This window comes from Homo sapiens, chromosome 9 (assembly GCF_000001405.40).
Source record: "Homo sapiens chromosome 9, GRCh38.p14 Primary Assembly".
NCBI classification, from domain to species: domain Eukaryota; kingdom Metazoa; phylum Chordata; class Mammalia; order Primates; family Hominidae; genus Homo; species Homo sapiens.
In genome coordinates this window covers 104,618,724-104,642,607 of record NC_000009.12, presented here as the reverse complement: position 1 = coordinate 104,642,607, position 23,884 = coordinate 104,618,724, and the positions used below count along the sequence as shown (strand labels likewise).

Genomic DNA, 23,884 nt, shown 5'->3' with positions numbered 1-23,884 from the left:
GCTATTCAGGCTCTTTTTTGGTTCCATATGAACTTTAAAGTAGTTTTTTTTTTTTTTCAGTTCTGTGAAGAATCTCAATGGTAGTTTAACAGGAATAGCATTGAATCTATAAATTACTTTGGGCAATATGGCCATTTTATGATATTGATTCTTCCTATTCATGAACATGGAGTGTTTTCCCATTTGTTTGTGTCTTCTCTGATTTCTTTGAGCAGTGTTTTGTAATTCTTCTTATAGAGATCTTTAACCTTCCTGGTTAGATGTATTCTTAGGTATTTTATTCTTTTTTTGGCATTTGTGAATGGGAATGAGTCCTGATTTGGCTTTGGCTTGACTGGAATTGGTGTGTACGAATGTTAGTGATATTTACACATTGATTTTGTATCTTGAGACTTTGCTGAAGTTGTTTATCAGCTTAAGAATGTTTTGGGTTGAGACTATGGGGTTTTCTAGATATAGAATCATGTTGTCTGCAAACAGGGATAGTTTTGTGTCTGGAATTGGTTCCTTCTGGTGGGTTCTTGGTCTCACTGACTTCAAGAATAAAGCTGCAGACCCTCGTGGTGAGTGTTACAGTTTTTAAAGATGGTGTGTCCGGAGTTTGTTCCTTCTGATGTTCAGATATGTCTGGAGTTTTTTCCTTCTGGACCCTCGTGGTGAGGGTTACAGTTCTTAAAGATGGTGTGTCCGGAGTTTGTTCCTTCTGATGTTCAGATGTGTCTGGAGTTTCTTCCTTCTGGTGGGTTTGTGGTCTTGCTGACTTCAGGAGTGAAGCCACAGACCTTCACAGTGAGAGTTACAGCTCATAAAAGGTAGTGTGAACCCAAAGAGTGAGCAGCAGCAAGATTTATTGTGAAGAGCGAAAGAACAAAGCTTCCACAGAGCGGAAGGGAGCCCCAGCGGGTTGCCGCTGCTGGCTGGGGTAGCCAGCTTTTATTCCCTTATTTGGCCCCACCCACATCCTGCCGATTGGTCCATTTTACAGAGCGCTGATTGGTCCATTTTACAGAGTGCTGATTGGTCCTTTTCTAGAATGCTAATTGGTGCATTTACAAACCTTTAGCTAGACACCGAGTGCTGACTGGTGGGTTTTTACAGAGTGCTGATTGGTGCGTTTACAAACCTTTAGCTAGACACAAAAGTTCTCAAAGTCCCCACCCGACCCAGAAGCCCAGCTGGCTTCACCTCTCAGTTTGACTTCCTCTTTTCCTATTTGGATACCCTTTATTTATTTCTCTTGCTTGATTGCCCTGGCCGGCCAGGACTTCCAGTACTATGTTGAATAGGAGTGGTGAGGGAGGGCATGCTTGTATTGTGCTGGTTTTCAAGGGGAATGCTTCCAGCTTTTGCTCATTCAGTATAATGTTGGCCGTGGGTTTGTCATAGACAGCTCTTATTATTTTGAGGTGTGTTCCTTCAATACCTAGTTTATTGAGAGTTTTTAATGTGAAGGGGTGTCAAATTCATTTATGTGATGAATCACATTTATTTATTTGCATGTGTCAAACCAACCTTGCATCCTAGGGATAAAGCCTAGTTGATTGTGGTGGATAAGCTTTTTGATGTGCTGCTGGATTTGGTATGCAAGTATTTTGTTGAGGATGTGTACATTGATGTTCATCAAGGGTATTGACCCGAAGTTTTCTTTTTTTGTTGTGTCTCTGCCAGGTTTTGCTATCAGGATGATGCTGGCCTCTTAGAATGAGTTATGGAGGTGTCCATCCTCCTCAATTTTTTGGAATAGTTTCAGCAGGAATGGTACCAGCTATTCTTTGTACATCTTGTAGAATTCAGCTCTAAGTCTGTTTGGTCCTGGGCTTTTTTTATGTTGGTAGACTATTTCTGACTCAATTTCAGAGCTTATTATTGGTCTGTTCAGGGATTCAATTTCTTCCTGGTTCAGTCTTCAGAGGGTGTATGTGTCTAGGAATGTATCCATTTCTTCTAGATTTTCTAGTTTGTGTGCAGAAAGTGTTCATAATATTCTCTAATGGTTGTTTGTATTTCTGTGGGGCCAGTGTATACTACAGTTTCTTATCCATTAATTTATCAATGAACACGTAGGTTGAGTCCGTATCTTGGCTATTGCGATTGGTACTGCAATAAACGTGGGAGTGCAGATTTTTTTTCAGTATGTTGATTTCCTTTATTTTGGATATATACCTGATATATATCCAGGTATGGAATTGCTGAATCATATAGAAGCTCCATTTTTATTTGTTTGAGGAGCCTTCATACTGTTTTCCATAATGGCTGTACTACTTTACATTCTCACAAACAGTATACAAGAGATCCTCTTTCTCTGCAGCCTTGTCAGCATGTATTGTTTTTGTCTTTTGATGACAGCCATTTTAACTGGAATAATTTTTTATCGTGTCTTTAATTTGCATTCCCGTGATGATTAGTGAGGTTGAGCATTTTTTCATATACCTGATGGCCATGTGTATATCTTTTGAAAAATGCCTATTCAGATAAAATGAGTTGACTGTAAATGTGTGATTTATGGGTTCTCTGTTCTGTTCCATTGGTCTTCATGTCTGTTTTTATGCCAGTACCATGCTGTTTTGGTTACTATAACTTTGTAATATAATTTGAAATCAGGTAGAGTGATGCCTATGGCTTTGTTCTTTTGCTCAGGGTTGCTTTGATCATTCTAGTTCTTTTGTAGTTCCATGTGAAGCTTAGGATTGTTTCTTCTATTTCTTTGAAGAATGACATTGGTATTTTGATAGGAATTGCATCTGTAGATGATTTTGTGTAGTATGAAGATTTTAACAATATTGATTCTTCCAATCCATGAATATGAAATATTTTTCTATTTTTTGTGTCCTCTTCAATTTCTTCTATCAATGTTTTATAGTTTTCATTATAGAGCTATTTTACTTCTTTAAGTTTATCCCTATATATTTTATATATTTTGCAGCTATTGTAAATAGGATTGCGTTCTTAATTTATTTTTCAGATTTTTCACTGCTGGCATATGGAAATTTTACTGATTTTTTTCATGTTAATTTTGTATTCTGAAACTTTACTGAATTTGTTTATCAGTTGTAAGAATTTCTTGATAACATCTTTAGGTTTTTCTAAATATAAGATTATGTCATCTGCTAAGAAGGAAACTTTGACTTATTCCTTTCCTATTTTGTTGCTCTCTATTTGTTTCCCATGTCTAATTGCTCTGGATAGGACTTCTAGTACCATGTTAAATGAAATTGGTGAAAGTGGGCATCTTTATCTTGTTTCAGACCTTACAGGGAAAGCTTTCAGTTTGTCCTCATTCGACATAATACTAGCTGTGGATCTGTTGTATATGACTCTTTTGAGAGATTTTGTTATTAAGGAATGTAAAATTTTATCAAATGATTTTTGGCATCAATTAACATAATCACAGTTTTTTGTCCTTCATTCTGTTCATATGAGGCATCACATTTATTGAATTGCATACATGTATTACAGATCTGAATGTGTATATCTCTACCGAGACTCAGTTTTTAGCAATTATTTTGTTAAATAACCTTTCTGTGCCTTTCTCAATTTCTTCTCATAATGCAGTATTTGTTTGCTTAATGGCGCTCCATAGTCCCATAAGGAGGATTTTTTTTTTTTTTTTTTTTTTTTTGAGACGGAGTCTCGCTCTGTCGCCCAGGCTGGAGTGCAGTGGCGGGATCTCGGCTCACTGCAAGCTCCGCCTCCCGGGTTCACGCCATTCTCCTGCCTCAGCCTCCCAAGTAGCTGGGACTACAGGCGCCCGCCACTACGCCCGGCTAATTTTTTGTATTTTTAGTAGAGACGGGGTTTCACCGTTTTAGCCGGGATGGTCTCGATCTCCTGACCTCGTGATCCGCCCGCCTCGGCCTCCCAAAGTGCTGGGATTACAGGCGTGAGCCACCGCGCCCGGCCAAGGAGGATTTTTTTCATGTTTTTTCATTCTTTCTCCCCTTCCCCAACTGGATTATTTCAAAAGACCTGTCTTCAGGTTCAGAAATTATTTCTTCAGCTTCATCTAGTCTGCTGTTGAAGCTCTAAATTAGGTTTTTTATTTTATTCATTGACTTATTCAGCTTCTAGATTTCTGTTTGGTTCTTTTTTTTTTTAAATCTATATTTTTGTTGAATTTCTCATGTAGATCACAAACTGTTTTCCTGATTTCATTGACTTGTCTTCTGTGTTCTCTTGATCTCACTGAGTTTCCTTAAGAAAATTGTTTTGAATTTCTTTTTAGGCAGCTTATATATTTCCATTTCTTTTGCGGTCAGCCACTGGAGAAATATTGTTTTCCTTTGGTGGTGTCATGTTTCCTTCTTTTTTTTTTTTTTCATGTTTCTTGTGTCCCTGTATTGATCTCTGTGTATCTGATGAAACAGTTGCCTTTTAATTTTATACAATAGCTTTTATAGGGGAAGACTTTCCCTTGAAGATGGGTCTTATTGTGTCAATTGGATAGAGTGTGTTGACTGTCATTTGGGTAGAGTGTGGGTCTGGGTGGGCATAGTACTGTAGTCTCCATGAGGTTTTTTCAGCTATAATCAATGTCAGTGATGACTGTAGGTACCTTAGTGGCCTAGGCTGCAGGAAACTGGCAGCAGTGGTGGCAAGGTAGAATGTTAGGGTTCTTGGTGGCAAAGGCTTTAGAGATCTTCGTGTTTTCATTTTCTTCACAGTGGGGAGACTTAGCTTAGGGGATCTCTCTTGATGTGTTATCTGACATTGGCCACTGGAAGCCACAACAAGGCTGTGTTTCACCACACAGGTGGTTGGAGTGGCTGTGGATTGTGTCTTGTTGAACTACTGTTGAACCTGTGACATGGGTGCAGGTTTACTCTCTTAGGCATGGGTGGCTGAAGCTTTTCCATCAAGCCAAGGACTGTGACTATGAGACACTCCCCAGCAGTTTGGTTTCATGGGGTAGGGATATAGCTGTGACTCTGATTCTGGGGATCAGAGTATAGGGCTGGCATGGTTCCAGGGATGAAGGTGTGTTCCAGAGGCTCACATTTGGGGAGCAAGGCAATCTGTAATTTGAATTCTGGAGACAAGAGGCCACAGTGGCAACTTGGACACCAAGAGAGAGGGTACTGCATAGTGGTGACTGTGGATCCTGTAATGGTGCGACACAGCAGGGGTTAGGCTCTGTGGAGCTGAATACAGTAGCAACAAGGGCCCATTTCTTGGCAGCAAGGAGTTGTGTGGAGCAGCTGTGGCTTCAGCTCCATGGATGAGGAGCAGTGCAATGTTGTCTTTATTCTCCAGGGAGATGGTGCACCTCAGCAGCACAGACTTTGGAGGGCTGGTCCAGATCCATTGAGGTAGGGCACTGTGGTTGTTCAGCCCTAAGGTGGGGGTGATACAGGTCAGCCAAAGTTATGTTTCCCTTGGGGGCTGGGCTCATGCATCAAGTTTGCAGCTGTTCTCCTGGGCTAAAGCTCCATTCCCCTGGGGCTGAGGCACTGGGCTGGTTCAGGGCGCTGAGGAGGCTTGACTGCTCTGCTGGCTTGGGTGCAGTTTCTTAGCCGTGCTGGAGTGCCTGGTCCCTAAGGAGCAGGGTGCTACAGGGGCTCAGGTACAGGGTCAAAGTTGCTTCCCTGAGCCAAAGCTCCAGTCCTCTGGGGTCGAGGTACCAGGCTGGTGCAGGTGCTGAGAAGGCATGACTGCTCTGCTGGCTTGGGTGTGGGTTCTCTACTGGGCTGGGGAGCCTGGTCCCCAAGAGGCAGGGTACTGTGTGGGCTTGGGCACTGCAATTGCAGCTGCTTTCCTGGGCCATAGCTCTAGTTTTCTGGGCTTGAGGCATCAGGTTGGCTTGGGCACCAAGGCTGCAGAACTGCTTCACCACGTTGGATGTGGCTTCCCCAGCAGAGGGGCACAAGGCTGGTTTACATGCTGGTGGGTCATGGCAACTCTGCTGGCTCAGGCACTGCTTTCCTGGGGATGGGATGCCAAGGCTTTGAATAGTCAGGAGTGGAGTGCAGCAGCCACTGAAATGGGGAAGATGGAGTGTCTCCTAGGCAGCCTGTTTCCAGGGGTTGGTGAGCCCAGCTGATAAATGGCGTACTACCATGTGTGAGCATGGTGCAGTGATGGTGGAGACTCAGAAATGGAGAGGTGCAGTGCCTACTGACCCCCAGAGGCAGTGGCTTCCATTTCAAGATGGCAAGTCCAGTGGCAGCTTGGGACACGAGGGTGGGTGGGGTGGGGCACAACATGGGCTTGTTTGCTGGAGTAGAATTGAATTCCAGGCAGCTCCCTTAAATTGGGTTCAGGCTCCATGAGGACTGTAGGATTTTCTCATAGCAAAGACTGCAGTGGTGGTAATGGGAGTTGCTGCAGGCTTCCTGCTTACCTTTTCCCGGCAGAGAAGTCCCTCCTGGTTTCCAGCTGATCCCATATGGGCAGATGAGGTGGCAGAGGCAGGGTGTTTTGTTCCCTTTTCTATGCAGTCAGCCTGAGTTTCTGTGTTTTATAAAGTTTCTACCACTTCCTTGATGTACTCCGGCACGCTCTTTTAATCATTCTTGTTGAAATGTAGTTGTTTATTCATTGTCTTGGTCCCTTTCTGTGGTAGGAATGATAATTAGGCACGTCTAGTTGGCCATCCTGCTGACGTTACTCTCCCATTCTCTTTTATTCCATGTGTTACATGTGTTTCTTGGACTGAATTTTTATTATCCTTTTAATTTTTTCTTCCATATGTTCATTTATTAACTTCCTAGTATTTTTATTTTATTGGGCATTGGGCATCTCTCCGTCTCTCTCTTTAAAACATAGAACCATGTTTCCTGCCATTGGGAAACTTTGAGAAGGTCTCAAATGATTACAATATAATAGCTAAGCACTACAGTATGGGAAAGTGGCAAGGACTGCAGAGAGGAAGGCTTTGATTACTCTGGGGCAGTTTTGGAAGACTCCCTAGAGGGTGAAACATTTCATCAGAGAAGATGAAATATGACAATGCAGGGAGTGTAACATATGCCATGGTTCCAAAGTGTGGAAAAGCCTTAAATAACAGGCAGTTTGATTAGTGATTGCCAATCTGGCTTTTAATTAGAATCATCTGGCAAACTAAAAAATGTACTGATTCTGAAGTCTAATCTCCAGAGATTCTTATTTAACTACTTTTAAATTGGGACCAGACATTTCTTTTTCAGCACCATTTAAAGGAATACAAAGCATATGCAAGGTATCCTACATATGCTATTTAAATTTTTTAAAAATTAATTAATGATGATGGACAGTATAACATATGATTGTCTTCATTTTTGTTGATTAAATTTTTGTCTTATTTATTCAGCATTGGGAATGTGCCTGTCCTTCTGCTAGTGCTGGAAACTAAATGCTGGATAGGATACAGTCCCTACCCTCAAGCATTAGTTTGAGAGAACTCTGTAACAGACATTACTGACATTTTACAAATAAGGAGTTTTAGGCTCAGAGTGATAGTGACAGAGGACAGACAAATTCTTACACAGACAGGGATGAGTCCCTGGTGAAAGCCGACCTTCAAGCCAAAGACAGCCTGAAGCCTGAAGACGGATATGCTGGATGGATAGAGTCCACCACCGGTGTGAGAACTTCCTCAATGCCTTTTAACCAATTGAATGGTGCTTTTTCCAAGACCACGCATGGACCCCATCAGCACCCACTTCGCCATTCTGAGCCCATAAAAACCAGCCAGACTCAGCCAGACAGACGGCGACCCACTCTTGGGTCCCCTGTTTGCTGACAGCTTTTTTTTTTTTTTTTTTTTGAGAAGAGTTTCACTCTCGTCGCTCAGGCTGGAGTGCAATGGCGCGATCTTGGCTCACTGCAACCTCCGCCTCCCAGGGTCAAGCGATTCTCCTGCCTCAACCTCCCAAGTAGCTGGGATTACAGGCGCCTGCCACCACGCCTGGCTAATTTTTGTATTTTTAGTAGAGACAGGGTTTCCCCATGTTGGCCAGGCTGGTCTTGAACTCCTGACCTCAGGTGATCTGCGCGCCTTGGCCTCCCAAAGTGCTGGGATTACAGGCGTGAGCCACAGCGCCCGGCCCTGAGAGCTTTCTTTCTGTTGCTAAATAAATTCTCTGCCTTACTCACTCTCCGGTGTCCACGCACCTTATTCTTCTTGATTGTGGGACAGGAACCCGGATCTCACTGAGGCTGCGAGGTTGGGGAATGAACAAGCTGTAACATGCCCGTGTTCACTGAGCTGCAGGCGGCAGAACCAGAGAGAGCTGTAACATTTCCTGGGGGCTCAGACCTCGGGACTCCCAGAGCAAAAGCTGTAACATCCCTTGGGGGTCTGCGGTTGCTGGCATCTCCAAGTTTTCGGGTGCCACCACCTCGTCTAGACGCCAGTGCCCAACACGGAAGCTGCTGTGGCACGCTGAGTCCAGCCGCAGGCTGAGCGTGGAGCCACGGCTGGTGTGGGATCCGGGCTGGTGGCACTAGTTGAACACAGCCTTCCGGGCCGAGCGGGCGGAGCGAGTCCGGAGGACCCGAGTGAGGCCCCCGGCAGAGCTCAGGGCGGCCACAGAGATTTCTGGTTGGCGAAACGGCACTGAAGGGATCCTGCAACACTGTAACCCTCCCTCCTGCTCACCCAAGCAACAGGGGAGAAAAAGCCGCCGCGCACTATTCCCTCCTGCTCGCCAAACTGCAAAAGCCACAAGACTTTGTACATGTAATAAGTGGCTGTAGGATTTAAAACCTTCTCTGTCTGCAATAAATGTGCAAGTTTAAGAAATGAAGTAACGGCCGGGAGCGGTGGCTCACGCCTGTAATCCCAGCACTCTGGGAGGCTGAGGCTGGTAGATCACCTGAGGTCAGGAGTTCGTGACCAGCCTGGCCAACATGGTGAAACCCCATGTCTACTAAAAAATACAAAAAATTAGCAGGGCATGGTGGTGTGTGCCCGTAATCCCAGCTACTCAGGAGGCTGAGGCAGGAGAATCGCTTGAATCCGCTAGGCAGAGGTTGCAGCGAGCCGAGATCACGCCGCTGCACTCCAGCCTGGGCGACAGAGCGAGCCTCCATCTCAAAAAAAAAAAAAAAAAAAAAAAAAAAAAGAGAGAAATGAAATAATTTCTTTTAAGAGATATTTCAGGAAGACAGGAGAGCAAGAGAGAAATTGTTATAAAGTTTAAGAATAGTTGTTTTTTGGCTGCACGCCTTGGCTCACGCCTGTAATCCCAGCACTTTGGGAGGCCGAGGCGGGCGGATCACGAGGTCAGGAGATAGAGACCATCCTGGCTAACACGGTGAAACCCCGTCTCTACTAAAAATACAAAAAATCAGCGGGTCGTGGTGGTGGGCGCCTGTAGTCCCAGCTACTCAGGAGGCTGAGGCGGGAGAATGGCGTGAACCCGGGAGGCGGAGCTTGCAGTGAGCCGAGATCGTGCCACTGCACTCCAGCCTGGGCGACACAGCGAGACTCCGTCTCAAAAAAAAAAAAAAAAAAAAAAAAGAATAGTTGTTTTTCCTGCTACCTATGCTGACATTCCTCTGAGGGAGTATTAGAATTTTGCTTCTGATTTTTTTGAATTGAGTCGGGGTTTTTCCATATATGCTGCAAACTGAATTTCCTGCTAAATACAGAAACATTACTCCAAAGTGTTTTAGCATATACTCTAAAAATCATCACCCAATATTTGCAATTACTTTAAAATTTGTTCTTAAAAATTGAATATGAGTTTGTAGTACAGAATTGGGGCAAACATACAGACAAGAATAGTGATAACATCTTAGGCAACATTATTGCATAATTATAACTCACTATCTACCCAGGGTAAAATTTTTATAGGGGGAAAATATTTAGAATAAAGTTATTTATTGTTTCTGAACCAGAGAGAAAGAATTAGTGCTCTTTCAAAGAAGTTTAGTCATCGACGGTAATCTCGTGTCAGTTGATTATCAGAGAATAATGTATACTGATATGCTTTTTTGTCTTACTCAACCCAGTGACCTCTGCAGTATATTTTATTCGATCTTTTTTCCCCTGGTTTCCCCTAAAAGATGATCTGAGGCCAGGTGCAGTAGCTTATGCCTATAATCTCAGCAGTTTGGGAGGCCAAGGCGTGTGGATCACTTGAGCTCAGGAGTTCCAGACCATCCTGGGCAAAGTGGCAAAATCCCGCCTCTACTAAAAAAAAAAAAAGTCTGGGCATGGTGGTGCATGCTTGTACTCCCAGCTACTTGGGAGGCTGAGGTGGGAGGATCACTTAAGCCTAGGAGGTGGAGGCTTCAGTGAGCCCGGATTGCATCACTGCACTCCAGCCTGGGTGACAGAGGGAGACCCTGTCTCAAAGAACAACAACAAAAGGATTATCTGATATTATACCAAAAGTATTTGGAGTTGTGGTTTGGGGGATGAAATAATATATAAAGTTCATTTCTTTTAGTTTGAATACTTGGACTTTTATTTTTACTGTTCTTTTAAAATTTTAATTAATTAGTTCATTCAGCAGTTTATTGCTGCCTACTATTTTAAATTAACATGGCATTGGACTTCATAAAGAGAACAGTGAGCCACGGTCCTGCCATTGAGAAGATTTCAGAAACTAACAAATGGTTATAGCATAAAAGAAAGACCACTGTAGCAGAAGTAAAGGTCTGGGTAGCATAGAAGAGGGAATAAGTATTAGGTTGGTGCAAAAGTAATTGCTGTTTTTTTTTTTTTTTCGTTTTTTTGAGATGGAGTCTCACTGTGTTGCCAGGCTGGAGTGCACTGGCACGATCTCAGCTCACTGCAGCCTCCACCTCCCGGGTTCAAGTGATTCTCCTGCCTCAGCGTCCTGAGTAGCTGGGACTACAGGAGCGCACCACCATACCCAGCTAATTTTTGTATTTTTAGTAGAGACAGGGTTTCACCATGTTGGCCAGGATGATCTTTATCTCTTGACCTCGTGAGCTGCCCGCCTCGGCTTCCCAAAGTGCTGGGATTACAGGTGTGAGCTACTGCACCTGGCCTGTTTTTACTGTTTTAATGACAGTATTGGAAAGCTTTGCAGAGGATATGACACTTTGCCCATCTCTTCTGAGATTTTACCAGAGAAGAAGGAGAAATGTTATCATGCAGAGGAAGTAGCATGTACTGTTGCACTTAGGTGTGAAAGAGCTTGAAATAATTGTGTAAATACATAGAGAATGGAACACAGTATGTGGAAAGGGGGATGGAGGCAACATGGGTATGGACAGAAAAGGGTGAAGTATGTAGCTAGAAATGTAGGTGAGGGCCAGATAAGGTCCCTGGGTAAAAAAACAAATAAGCATAAACAGATAAATATATAAAAGGTATTCCAAAGAGGGCTGACAAATATATTTTATTTGTTAAGGACTTATGTTGTCTTTTCTTGGAAAGGCTTAATTATAAATATTTTTTGTCTGACTCCCATAACTTTACATGTACTTCTTAGATTACTTGTCTCTGTATTTTTATGAGGTCATGGTCATTTTCTTAAAGATAAATATTAGATTATTAATGTTGAAATTTCTTTCTAATGCTGAAATTTTGTTTCTAGACATAATCGTCATTTCTTCTGTTCTATTTATATTTAAAATTCTTGCCTCAAAATATGTGAGCTTATTTTGTACATGAACTCAAAGATGTCAGGTTCTCATCATTTTTCCAGCACCAGGGTCTACTCATACTGATCAATTTCTTCATAACCCCAAGCACCTCCATATTCCCCAGGCTATAGATGATAAGATTGAGCATGAGCATTACTACCCCGCAGAACAGGTCAACCAGTTTCTCTGAAGTAGTGCCATTAGATGTTGACTTTATGTACATGAAGAGGATTGTCCGGTGAAACACAATCACCACTGTTATGTGGGCTGAACAGGTGGAAGAGACCTTTTTCCTTCCTTCAGCTGAATTGATTTCAATACAGCATAGATGGTGAAAATATAAAAAACTGAATATAAAGAACTGAAATGGTAGTAATAAAGTAAATGAAAAGTTTACTTTGCCCAATATTATTATATTCTCATTCAAGGAAATATCTATGCAAGCCAGAGGCATTAACTGTAATATTTTATAAAAATGATTAATGATGTGTTTTCCACAAAAGTGCATTCATATGTAACTATTAATACATTTTGTCTGTTGAGAAATCCTAATTCATAAGAGACAGTAGCCATGAAAACACAAAGCACCTTTTTTATTTTATTTTATTTTATATTATTTTTGAGGTGGAGTTTCGCTCTTGTTGCCCAGACTGGAGTGCAGTGGCATGATATTGGCTCATTGCAACCTCGGCCTCCCAGGTTCAAGCAATTCTCCTGCCTCAGCCTCCCAAGTAGCTGGGATTACCGGTGCCCACCACTGCACAGGGCTAATTTTTTGTATTTTTAGTAGAGATGGGGTTTCATCATGTTGGCCAAGCTGGTTTTGAACTCCTGACCTCCGGTGATCCACCAGCCTTGGACTCCCAGAGTGCTGGGATTACAGGCATGAGCCACTGCGCCCAGCCAAGGCACCTTATTTATGATGAGAGGGTATCTCAGGAATTTGCTGATGACCACACAGTTATCATATGCCATCACTGCTAGGAGCACACACTCCGTGGACCCCATGGAATAGAAGATAGACATTTGTATAATACAATCTGTGAAAGAGAGTTTTTTTCCCTCTGATAGGAAGTTTATTAGGATAGAGGGAGTAAAAAGGACGTAAGCCCGATATCCAGGAAGGAGGGATTGCCATGGCATAAATATAGGTGGGAAACAAGGAGTGTTGGGATGATCTGTATTCTGTTCCCCAAGAGGGTCACTAGATACACCACTAAGCATGTGACAAAAAGGAGTTTTTGTCAACTTATGAGTACTCATAGACTTATGAGAATCAACTCAAACTCAGTTGTTCAATTAGTCCTTTCCATGTACTTTTTCATACCTAGAGTATGACTAATCCAGAAAAGGACACAGTATGTGAGTTAAACGAATGGTCCCATATTATGTAAAGTAAGAGGTCATAGAAGTTGGAGGTCCAACAACTATGCTAGTACTAGCTGGAATAGTGGTAACAGGAATGAGTTTAGCTTATGGGATTCCTCTTTTAGCTCATAAAGCAATTGCGCTACATTGCTAGGTCATTAAATATGCAAACTTCTGTATTCCCCTTCCTGAGATTGAGCATGAGGTCTGAGGAAGGGAAGAGCTCTTTGCATTTTAAAACAAGTGTCGGTTATTACTGATACAATTGATCCACAAAGACCACTTTGAAAAATTAACATCAGAGAGAGCATACTTTAATCTGATCAACAGACGTATTTATTTGGGTTTATACCATACAAATCATTAACAATAGCATTGGTTTAGGATTTTATAGTTTACAAATATGATCACACACATTACTCATTTTATCATCACTATAATTCTCTGAGGGAAATGAAATCTTGAAAGATGAAATTTATATAAAATTAGAGTAAGTGTGAGTGAGCTGCTATTTAAATCTGAGTTTTCTGATTTTAAATCCCGTGTATTTTTTTTTAACTATACTTCATTGGGTGGGAATCAGACATCTTTTTAATAATGCTCTCCAGGTTACTCTAATGTGCAACTGAGGAAGAACATAACTGATTTAGTCAATGTGCTTCTCAAACTTTAATATTCCCAGGAGTCACCTGGGGAATCTATGTAAAAGATTCTGATTCAGTGGGTCTGACCTGGGTTCTGAGATCTGCATTTATTAACGTGTTCCCAGGTAATGTTGATGCTGCTCATCTACAGAACACACGTGAGTAGCAAGGTATCTCTGACCATCTCTCTTTAATACCTTAGAGAGGACCATTGGTGCTTTAATTGTGTGTAGGATAGTAATTAGATAGCTGATGTGAAACAATATTCTGGTGAGACTTGGAGATAAGACTTCTGTATAGCTTATTGCAAACAATTTTGGGTTCTTGATATTTTTAGAATTAAAAGCAACCAAATTGCACACAGGAGAGCCTGCCTTTTATTTCTATACATATGAAAGTCATTTTCTTCTACTTGTTAAATTTATTGTTAGGACCCATATTTTCCTGAAAAAGGAATTTTGAGTCAGCTCAAGCATCTGAGTTGTGAACCAAAGAACATAAAGAAAATGATATAACTATCAGCGGGTGACCTTGTTTGTAGTAAATGCATCAGAGAATATCATTTTAAAAACAACTCTGCATCTTCATGGTATTCTACCTCAGCTGCGAAATATATCCCTAGACAAATACATTAATTGACTCAATAGATGAGTATACTTAGTATTATAACTTAGTATTTTCAAACAATAGTTTTGGTTATGGTATAGGATTTGCCTTATAATAGTCATTTGCCAATAGGTTATGCTGCTCCTTAATTAAACAATGTTCAACATAGAAGAGAATTTCTAATCCTATTGGTTTTGGAAAGGAGGATTGTCACTGAATTCAAGCTTTCCTAAATTATGCATGCCTCCAAATAGAGCAGAAAAATGTGGATAGGCCAAGATATACTCCTATTTGGTACTATTTATGATTATAATTTGATTGACTATAGGAGTACAATCTCAGTTGGACAGCAAAATTCTAATAGAGACTTTGAACAAACATCAGTAGTCTGGAGTTCATACTAAACCTGTTTCAGGGAAGGTATGAATTAAGTGGAAAGCCATTCCTTCTCTTTTAACTTCTCCAAAATGTTTATTCCTATTTTAAAGTTGCTTTAAGAAAATATTTATTTTATGCTGAGAATAAGGTAGTAAGTTTGGTACTCGAACATCCTCGAGACGGTTATTCCCAAAGAATTTTACTTGCAAACATCCCTATGGAATCCACCCATGTCTTTTGATCCATTTTTTTAAAAAAAGATAATAGCATAGAGGCCATTATTTGTATTTCTCTTGTAATGCTAGTGTAACTTCTTTAAAAATCAGTTAATAGATTCCAAACGTTTGATCATTGAAAAAGCACTGTGTTTTAATACTTTGTGCTAGAGACTTCTGACATTTATGTTTTTTTTTCTCTAACGTGAAGTCTTATATTCTGTTTGGGTAAAGACATTGAAAATTTAAGACTATAAAGAGTCCCTAATAAATTATTTTTGTAGGACTTGGAGGATTGGATAATTTTGTTATCATTTTTATGCTTGTCTACTGTGATGAAGGGGAAATATAAAATCATCATAGTAATTTTATTTAGTGGAATATTTGTAACTATTAAATAACATTTTTGAAGAATTTGTATTAATATAAAAACACTTATGTTAATATAGTTAAAAGAAAAACAAAAACAGTATTTTGCATTGTTTTACAAAACCAAAACCTAAAGCAAGAAAACTTACTCAGAATAAAGGCTGAAAAGAAATATCCAAAAGGCCAGGCGTGGTGGCTCATGCCTGTAATCCCAGCACTTTGGGAGGCTGAGGTGGGCGGATCATGAGTTTAGGAGTTCGAGACCAGCCTGGCCAATATGGTGAAACCCTGTCTCTACTAAAAATACAAAAATTATCCGGGCGTGATGGCGGGTGCCTGTAATCCCAGATACTCGGGAGGCTGAGGCAGGAGAATCACTTGAAACTGGAAGGTGGAGGTTGCAGTGAGCTGAGATCGCACCACTGCACTCCAGCCTGGGCAATAGGAGTGAAACTCGGTCTCAAAAAAAAAAAAAAAAAAAAAAAAAAAAGAAAGAAATATCCAAAAAATTTATCTTGGTATCTTTTCTGAAATTTCTAAGTTTTTAACATAAGTATGGATACATACATATGGATAAAAGAAAAATGTAACTCCAAAAAGAATAAATGGAAGCAGGGGCATAATTATATTAGAAAGATGACTCAGTAAAAACTGTCAAATCTTAATTTAAATGGGCAATTTCTTTAGGTATCTGGAGATCACACATAAAGGCTGAGTTGCACTGCATGTCCATTAGGATGTTTTTCACATCCCAAGTTGTATCAGAAGAAATAACTGTACTTTAAAAAATTTTCTGATGGGGGAGTACTTTAATGGACCATTTAATTTTATACAATATGACCTATGTCCCAGGTTTAATGAAATAGGTTAAAAAAACAGTAACTAAAACTTTGCCAAATAAAGTAAGTGAACAATCTCATTAGCTTGAAACTGTTCTGATATGACTGATTTGGAGGCTTTACTTAAGTAATGCTGGATATAGGATTTAGGGGTCCCTTGTGACTTGGCAAGAAAGAGGAGGGAAAAATGAGTAAAGAGCTTACCTTTTTATTTCTTAAAAAAAAAGTACATAGTTATGAAACAAAACAAAATACAGAAGTCCAAAACCGCTTTCTTCTTAGGAGGGAAACTGTATTAGTCTGTTTTCATGCTGCTGATAAAGATATACCTGAGACTGTGAAGAAAAAGAGGTTTAATTGGACTTACAGTTCTGCATGGCAGGGGAGGCCTCTGAATCATTGTGGGAGGCAAAAGGCACTTCTTACATGGCAGCAGCAAGAGAAAATGAGGAAGAAGCAAAAAAGAAACCTCTGGTAAACCCATCAGATCTCTTGAGACTTACTCACTATCATGAGAATAGCACAGGAAAGACTGGCTCCCATGATTCAATTACCTCCCCTATGTCACTCCCACAACACATGCTGGGAGATAGAATTCAAGCTGAGATTTGGGTTGGAACACAGCCAAACCATATAATGCCACTCCTGGCCCCTCCAAATCTCATGTCCTCACATTTCAAAACCAATCATGCCTTCCCAACGGTCCCCCAAAGTCATAACTCATTTCAGCATTAATCCAAAAGTCCACAGTCCAAAGTTTCATCTGAGACAAGGCAAGTCCCTTTCACTCATGAGCCTGTAAAATCAAAAGCAAGCTAGTTACTTCCTAGATACAATGAGGATACAGACATCGGGTAAATACAACCGTTCCAAATTGGAGAAACTGGACAAAACAAAGGGGTTATAGAGCCCATGCAAATCCGAAATCCAGCAGGGCAGTTAAATTTTAAAGCTCCAAAATGATCTCCTTTGACTCTGGTCTCATATCCAGGTCACACTGATGCAAGAAGTGCATTCCCATGGTCTTGGGCAGCTCTGACCCTGTGGCTTTGCAGAGTACAGCCTCCTTCTCAGCTACTTTCACAGGCTGGTATTGAGTGTCTGTGGCTTTTCCAGGCAAATGGTGCAAGCTGTTGGTAGATCTACCATTCTGGAGTCTGGAGGGTGGTGGCCCTCTTCTCACAGCTCCACTAGGCAGTGCCCCAGTAGGGACTCTGTGTGGGGGTTCCAACCCCACTTTTCCCTCCTGCACTGCCCTATCAGAAGTTCTCCATGAGCACCCCATCCCTGCAGCAAACTTCTGCCTGGACATCCAGGTGTTTCCATACATCTTCTGAAGTCTAGGTAGAGGTTTCCAAACCCCAATTCTTGACTTCGGTGCACTTGCAGGCTCAACACCATGTGGAAGCTTCTGAGGCTTGAGGCTTACCCCCTCTGAAGCCATGGCCCGAGCTCTGCATTGGCCCCTTTTAGCCACATCTGGAGCAGCTGGGACGCAGGGCACCAAGTCCCTAGGCTGCACCCAGCAGGGGTTCCCTGGGCGAGCGAAACCACTTTCTCCTAGGCCTCCAGCCTGTGATGGGAGGAGCTGCAGTGAAGACCTCTGACATGCCCTGGAGACAATTTCCCCATTATCTTAGGGATTAACATTTGGCTCCTGGTTACTTATGCAAATTTCTGTAGCCAGCTTGAATTTCTCCTCAGAAAATGGATTTTTCTTTTCTATCACATTGTCAGGTTGCAAATTTTCCAAACTTTTATGCTCTGCTTCCCTGATAAAACTGAATGCCTTTAATAGCACCCAAGTCACCTATTGAATGCTTTGCTGCTTAGAAATTTCTTCAGCCAAATACCCAAAATCATCTCTCTCAAGTTCAAACTTCCACAAATCTCTAGGGCAGGGGCAAATTGCCACCAGTCTCTTTGCTAAAACATGACAAGAGTCACCTTTGCTCCAGCTCCCAACAAGTTTCTCATCTCCATCTGAGACCACCTCAGCCTGGACCTTATTATCCATATTGCTATCAACATTTTGGGTAAAGCCATTCAGCAAGTCTGTAGGAAGTTCTAAACTTTCCCACATTTTCCTGTCTTCTTCTGAGCCCTCCAAACTCTTCCATCTTCTGCCTGTTACCCAGTTCCAAAGTCGCTTCCACATTTTGGGGGATCTCTTCAGCAATGCCCCACTCTACTGGTACCAATTTACTGTATTAGTCCGTTTTCCCCCTGCTGATAAAGACATACCTGAGACTGGGAAGAAAAAGAGTTTTCATTGGACTTACAGTTCCACATGGCTGGGGTCTCAGAATCATGGCAGGAGGTGAAAGGGACTTCTTACTTGGTGGCGGCAAGAGAAAACGAGGAAGAAGCAAAAGCGGAAACCCCTGATAAACCCATCAGATCTCATGATACTTATTCACTATCATGAGAATAGCAGGGGAAAGACCTGCCTCCATGATTCAATTACCTCCCACTGGGTCCTTCCCACAACACGTGGGAATTCTAGGAGATACAATTCAAGTTGAGATTTTGGTGGGGACACAGCCAAACGGTATCAGAAGCTTAGCCACATGGTGACAGATCAGAACTTAACAAGATGGCCAGGAAGCAATTCCTTGTGATCTGGGATGGTTTTGCATCACCTCCTCCCACTGTAAATTAGATAAGATTTTTATGCCAATAAATCTAGGGAATAGTATTATCTGTTTAGGTGAATTTTTTGGAAATGCTTACGGTATGGAGTGAGATGAAGTTACAAATTAGCTTCTGGAGTAACAATAAAAAAGCTAAATAGCTTCTACATTTCTATCGTATGATTTAAACATTTCTGAATTTGTTGTGAATTTCAAAATGCCACCCACATTTACAATAACATCTAAATTCCAATTTCAGAGCAAAATACAATTATTTCTAGATTAGTTATACATTAAAACTTGTTTTTTCTTTTTTTTATTATACTTTAAGTTCTAGGGTACATGTGCACAACGTGCAGCTTTGTTACATGTGTATACATGCACCATGTTGGTGTGCTGCACCCATTAACTCGTCATTTACATTAGGTATATCTCCTAATGCTATCCCTCCCCCCTCCCCCCACCCCACGACAGGCCCCGCTGTGTGATGTTCCCCTTCCTGTGTCCAAGTGTTCTCATTGTTCAATTCCCACATATGAGTGAGAACATGCGGTGTTTGGTTTTTTGTCCTTGCAATAGTTTGCTGAGAATGATCGTTTCCAGCTTCATTCATGTCCCTACAAAGGACAAGAACTCATCCTTTTTTATGGCTGCATAGTATTCCATGGTGTATATGTGCCACATTTTCTTAATCCAGTCTATCACTGATGGACATTTGGGTTGGTTCCCAGTCTTTGCTATTGTGAATAGTGCCTCAATAAACATATGTGTGCATGTGTCTTTATAGCAGCACGATTTATAATCCTTTGGGTATAGACCCAGTAATGGGGATGGCTGGGTCAAATGGTATTTCTAGTTCTACATCCTTGAGGAGTTGCCACACTGTCTTCCACAATGGTTGAACTAGTTTACAGTCCCACCAACAATGTAAAAGTGTTCCTATTTCTCCACATCCTCTCCAGCACCTGTTGTTTCCTGACTTGTTAATGATCGCCATTCTAACTGGTGTGAGATGGTATCTCACTGTGGTTTTGATTTGCATTTCTCTGATGGCCAGTGATGATGAGCATTTTTTCATGTGTCTGTTGCCTGCATAAATGTCTTCTTTTGAGAAGTGTCTGTTCATATCCTTCACTCACTTTTTGATGGGGTTAATTTAACAAAAACAAATTAAACGACATAATATCTATAAAACCCTTATAATGATGCCTGGAAATTTGTATTCTATTATTATTATTGTTAATAATGAAGACTTAATGTAGTCTGAGTTCTTTCTACTGTACTACATACAAGATGACATGATAGGATGAACAAAGGTCTGGACCAAGTGATTAGAATATATTTGGAGAAAGGATCTCAGCAGTATATAGTAATAGATTGAAAATGGGATAAGACATGTCTTCAGGGCTTCTGATTGGTTATGTAAATTACAATAATGGGTCTCATATGATTAAGTCTTTAGGGCATTATTCTTGAAATTTCTAAAAGTTTTGAATATGTTTTGCCTGAAGCAATTTAAAGTTATCACTTAGAAATTTTCAGAAGTCCCTGAGAGCAAGAAATATTTAAATTGCCTCCCTGAGCCCAAGGAAGATTCTTTAGAGAATTTCCTGGGCCTTCTCAATGGGACAATGTTTCCACCTGGGCTTCAAGGGCAAATGAAATGTGCCATATTCACAAAGTGAACTGCCCAGTATTTTCTTCTCCTCTTACTTTTGAACTAGCAGAACCACATTAGCCTTCCTTTGTAAATATAGCTGATGTAATGTATGCTGTTTTGAAACAACTTAGAAATAATACCTTTGTTATCAATGTTTTACAGATAATATACCCTGTGTCATCATGGCTTCCAAACAGTAATCCCTTCTTCAGAAATTCATCAGCTTCACAGAAAATTTTGTTGAACAGCCTAAAAACAGAAGATCAAGGCAAAACAATCTGCTGTGTATTGCAACCTAAGAAGTGAGCTGACCTTCCATTTAGAGGTAATTGCTGAAGCCATACTACTAACACAAATCGAAGCGGGGGTGGTGGTTAGCCTTATGAAATGAATTGAAATAAGCCATGTCTTTTGAAAATGTAGTATTTCTTATTAGAGAAAGTGTACAATCCAAGAGGATTTTTTCAGATATAGTTAAAAAATAGAAAAAAAGAAAAAATATTATCAAAAGACTACTTGCATATCCAAAGTAATTTGAGCATTCAAAACAGATGATGTTTAGGTTTATAGTTGTTTTCATGAACAGTCCTTCTACAGAATAGGTTTATAATTTCTAACTGGGAATAAAGATTCATTGGTCAAAATACAGTTTTGTGGTCCTCACTTTATTACAAGCACATGTATATGCATCTGAAAGTATCATCTCTCTTCTGTTGCTCAATAAGCTGCCAATCTGTACTCTTGGTCCAGAATGCAAAGCAGTCTGTTACCACCAAAGTTCTGATTCTGTGGCCATTTAAATCACAGCACTAATTCAGTTTGATTTTGTTCAGTTTAGCAAATGTTCATCCAATACTAATCATGAGTAGACAATGTTCTAGCATGGTCCCTGTCCCAGAACCTCTAACTAGGCATACTATTTGAAACACAAACACTTTATTACTTGTTCTTGAATATATCTTTGAATTTGTGAAAACGCAAATGAAGAGGAGCAATGAGTCTTTAGTTAATAGGAAGAATTTTGGCTTCTTATGCTTGCGAGTATTTTGGAGATGTTTGAATATTTTTAATTTTTTTTGTTGCTGGTAATGCATTTGTATGGTGACTTTAGATATAACATTTGTGAGATACACACACACATTTAGATTTTAGATGAATTAACTGAAATAGCCTCTATTTAAAAATGTCACCCTATATGTTCCTTGTTTTAAACTGCAATGGACTTTTTTTATAATGGTATAACACTGTTCACTGCAAAGTGAGTAGACTTTGGTATAATGCGCATCTATCTCATATCATGAATGTGATAAAAAATAGTTTGACTTAGATGAAAGGAGACTTGATATATGAGAAAGTGTGATTGATGAAATTCCAAAGATACTTGTGCAGCGGTTGATACTGGGGACAGAGACATAAAAGAACTTGAGAGAAGAACAAGTCAGTAGAAAATAAGAAGGAACAAAAATAGTGCTTACTACATGCTATGTACTTTACATGCTTTGCCTATTTATTCTCCCGAGAACCCCATTATAAGCCTATTAAGACCCCCATGTTATAGATGAAGATAGTGAGATTCAGAGAATTTATAAATTGCCCATGGTCACAGCTAGTAACTGGCCAAGAAAGGACTTAAGCACATGTTCTCTCTATTAGACAAAGTGGACTTGACACAATAATAGCTGCATCGTGGCAGTGGTTAGAAGAATGTGTCTTACCATGAAATTGCTTCTCAGTCATAATTTAACAGGGAATTGGAATTGAGGTGGCATTATTTATAACATAGAATTAAAAAAGTGAATCTAGGATTTAGATAAAAAAGGATGTATTTCTAGGGTATAAAAGGATCCCAAAGTATAAAAAGTGGAGTTGATGGAAATAAGGGCAAAATATGCTGAAAGGAGAAATACCCTTATAATGGCCAAAGGCAGAGCTGGTTAGTTAGAAGCTGGTTGAAATAAGTTCAAACAACTCAATTTAGACCTTAAACTTGTGCCAAGTTTTGTGAATAAAGAAAAATGGCCTATGTGTTAAGTGCCTGGTTTGTTTTCAGAAATTACTTTTGTTTTGTGAACTAAGTGGAAGATATTCATCAATGGACAATGATACTACTGGAAATTTGTTTGTGTAGAGGGGTAGTTGGGTGGGGAGAAATGACTGTTCCTGAGAAAAAATTAAAAGAGATAGCTTGAGACTTTCTGAGGCAAGTTTAAGCAAAATCCACCATTTCCAATTCCCAGGGAATGGCTATTTTCCAGTGGATATTTTCCTGCAGTATCACCTAAAGTGAGATGTGCTGTTAGAACATGTCTCTTTAGTCGTAGTCTTTCTTTGCATCATGTTCAATTGGACTTAGGCAGCAACCAATTAACATGGCAACTAAAAGGTGTTTGCATTAGAGAATGAGAAGACAAACCAGCTGCTGGGAGACAATATATGCAAATCACATGATAAATAACTCATATCCAAAATATATAAAGAACTCTCAAAACTCAACAAGGAAAAAAAATTAAAAATGAGCAATAGAACCAGCATGGTGGTGCATGCCTGTAGTTCTGTGTTCTGGTTAAGCTGGTAGTTACATGAATCTGTAGTCCCAGATACTCAGAGGCTGAGGTGGGAGAATGGCTTGAGGCCAGGAGTTTGAGGACAGCCTGGGAAAATAGCGAGACCCCCATTTGTTAACAAAAAAAGGGGGCAAAAGATACTTTACTAAAGAATGGAAAAACATCATCAGTCATCAAGGAAATGTAAAATAAAATCATAATTAAATATGACTATCTATTAGAATGGATAAAAAATTACTGACAATATTAAATGATGAGATGGGAAGCAAGTGGAACTCTCATACATTGTTGGTTGAAATGCAAAACTGGTACAGCCACTCTGGAAAACTGTTTGGCAGCTTCTTATACATTTAAACATGCTTATTGTCTCATTCCTGGATATTCTAAAAAAATGAAAGCTTATGGTTATACAAAAATTGGGGCAGAAATATTTATAGTAGCTCTATTCATAATTGCCCCAAACTGGAAACAATCCAAATATCCTTCAAAAGGTGAACAGATAGGCAAAATACAGTAATCTACTCAATAGAATACTATTTAGCAATAATAACTTGAATGGATCTCAGAGGCTTTATCTAAGTGAAAGAAGCTCAACCCCAGTGGCTCATATGATTCTATTTATATGTATTTATATGACATTATGGTAAACGTAAAACTATAGGGATAGAAAATATCAGTGGTTGCCAGGATGTACAGGTAAGTGGAAGAGGTGACTAAGAAAAGAATATCACAAAGAAGTGTTTTGGGGTAATAGAAGAGTTCTGTGTTCTGGTTATGGCCGTGGTTATATGAATCTATACATGTTTTAAAATTCACAGAACCATACACTAGGAAATAAAAAGTCAGTTTATGGTATGACATCTAACTGTATGATAATTTTAAAAAACAACAAAAAAATTCCACCCCTAACCAAAGAAAAAGGTGTTTGCACTTTAACACGAAGATTTCATATTATTGGGCTTTACATGAATTGGTCGTGTTCTCTGGATAATCAGGAATGCAGTAATCACTGGTTGGGTTCATTTCTGATGATTCTCCCTCCAGATTGACACACTTCTTTCAGTGTT

At 40.2% G+C, this 23,884-nt stretch overlaps 1 long non-coding RNA gene and 1 pseudogene across 1 annotated transcript in view; one reads left to right on the top strand and one right to left on the bottom strand.

The window, feature by feature from the left end:
* LOC107987105 (uncharacterized) overlaps positions 1–23,884 on the top strand; it is a 217,429-nt gene that overhangs the window by 105,032 nt on the left and 88,513 nt on the right. The window contains exon 3 of the long non-coding RNA XR_007061705.1: positions 20,416–20,578. This is a non-coding gene — a long non-coding RNA (uncharacterized LOC107987105). The remainder of the gene's footprint in view (positions 1–20,415; positions 20,579–23,884) is intronic.
* On the bottom strand, positions 11,589–12,853 carry OR13I1P (olfactory receptor family 13 subfamily I member 1 pseudogene; annotated as a pseudogene).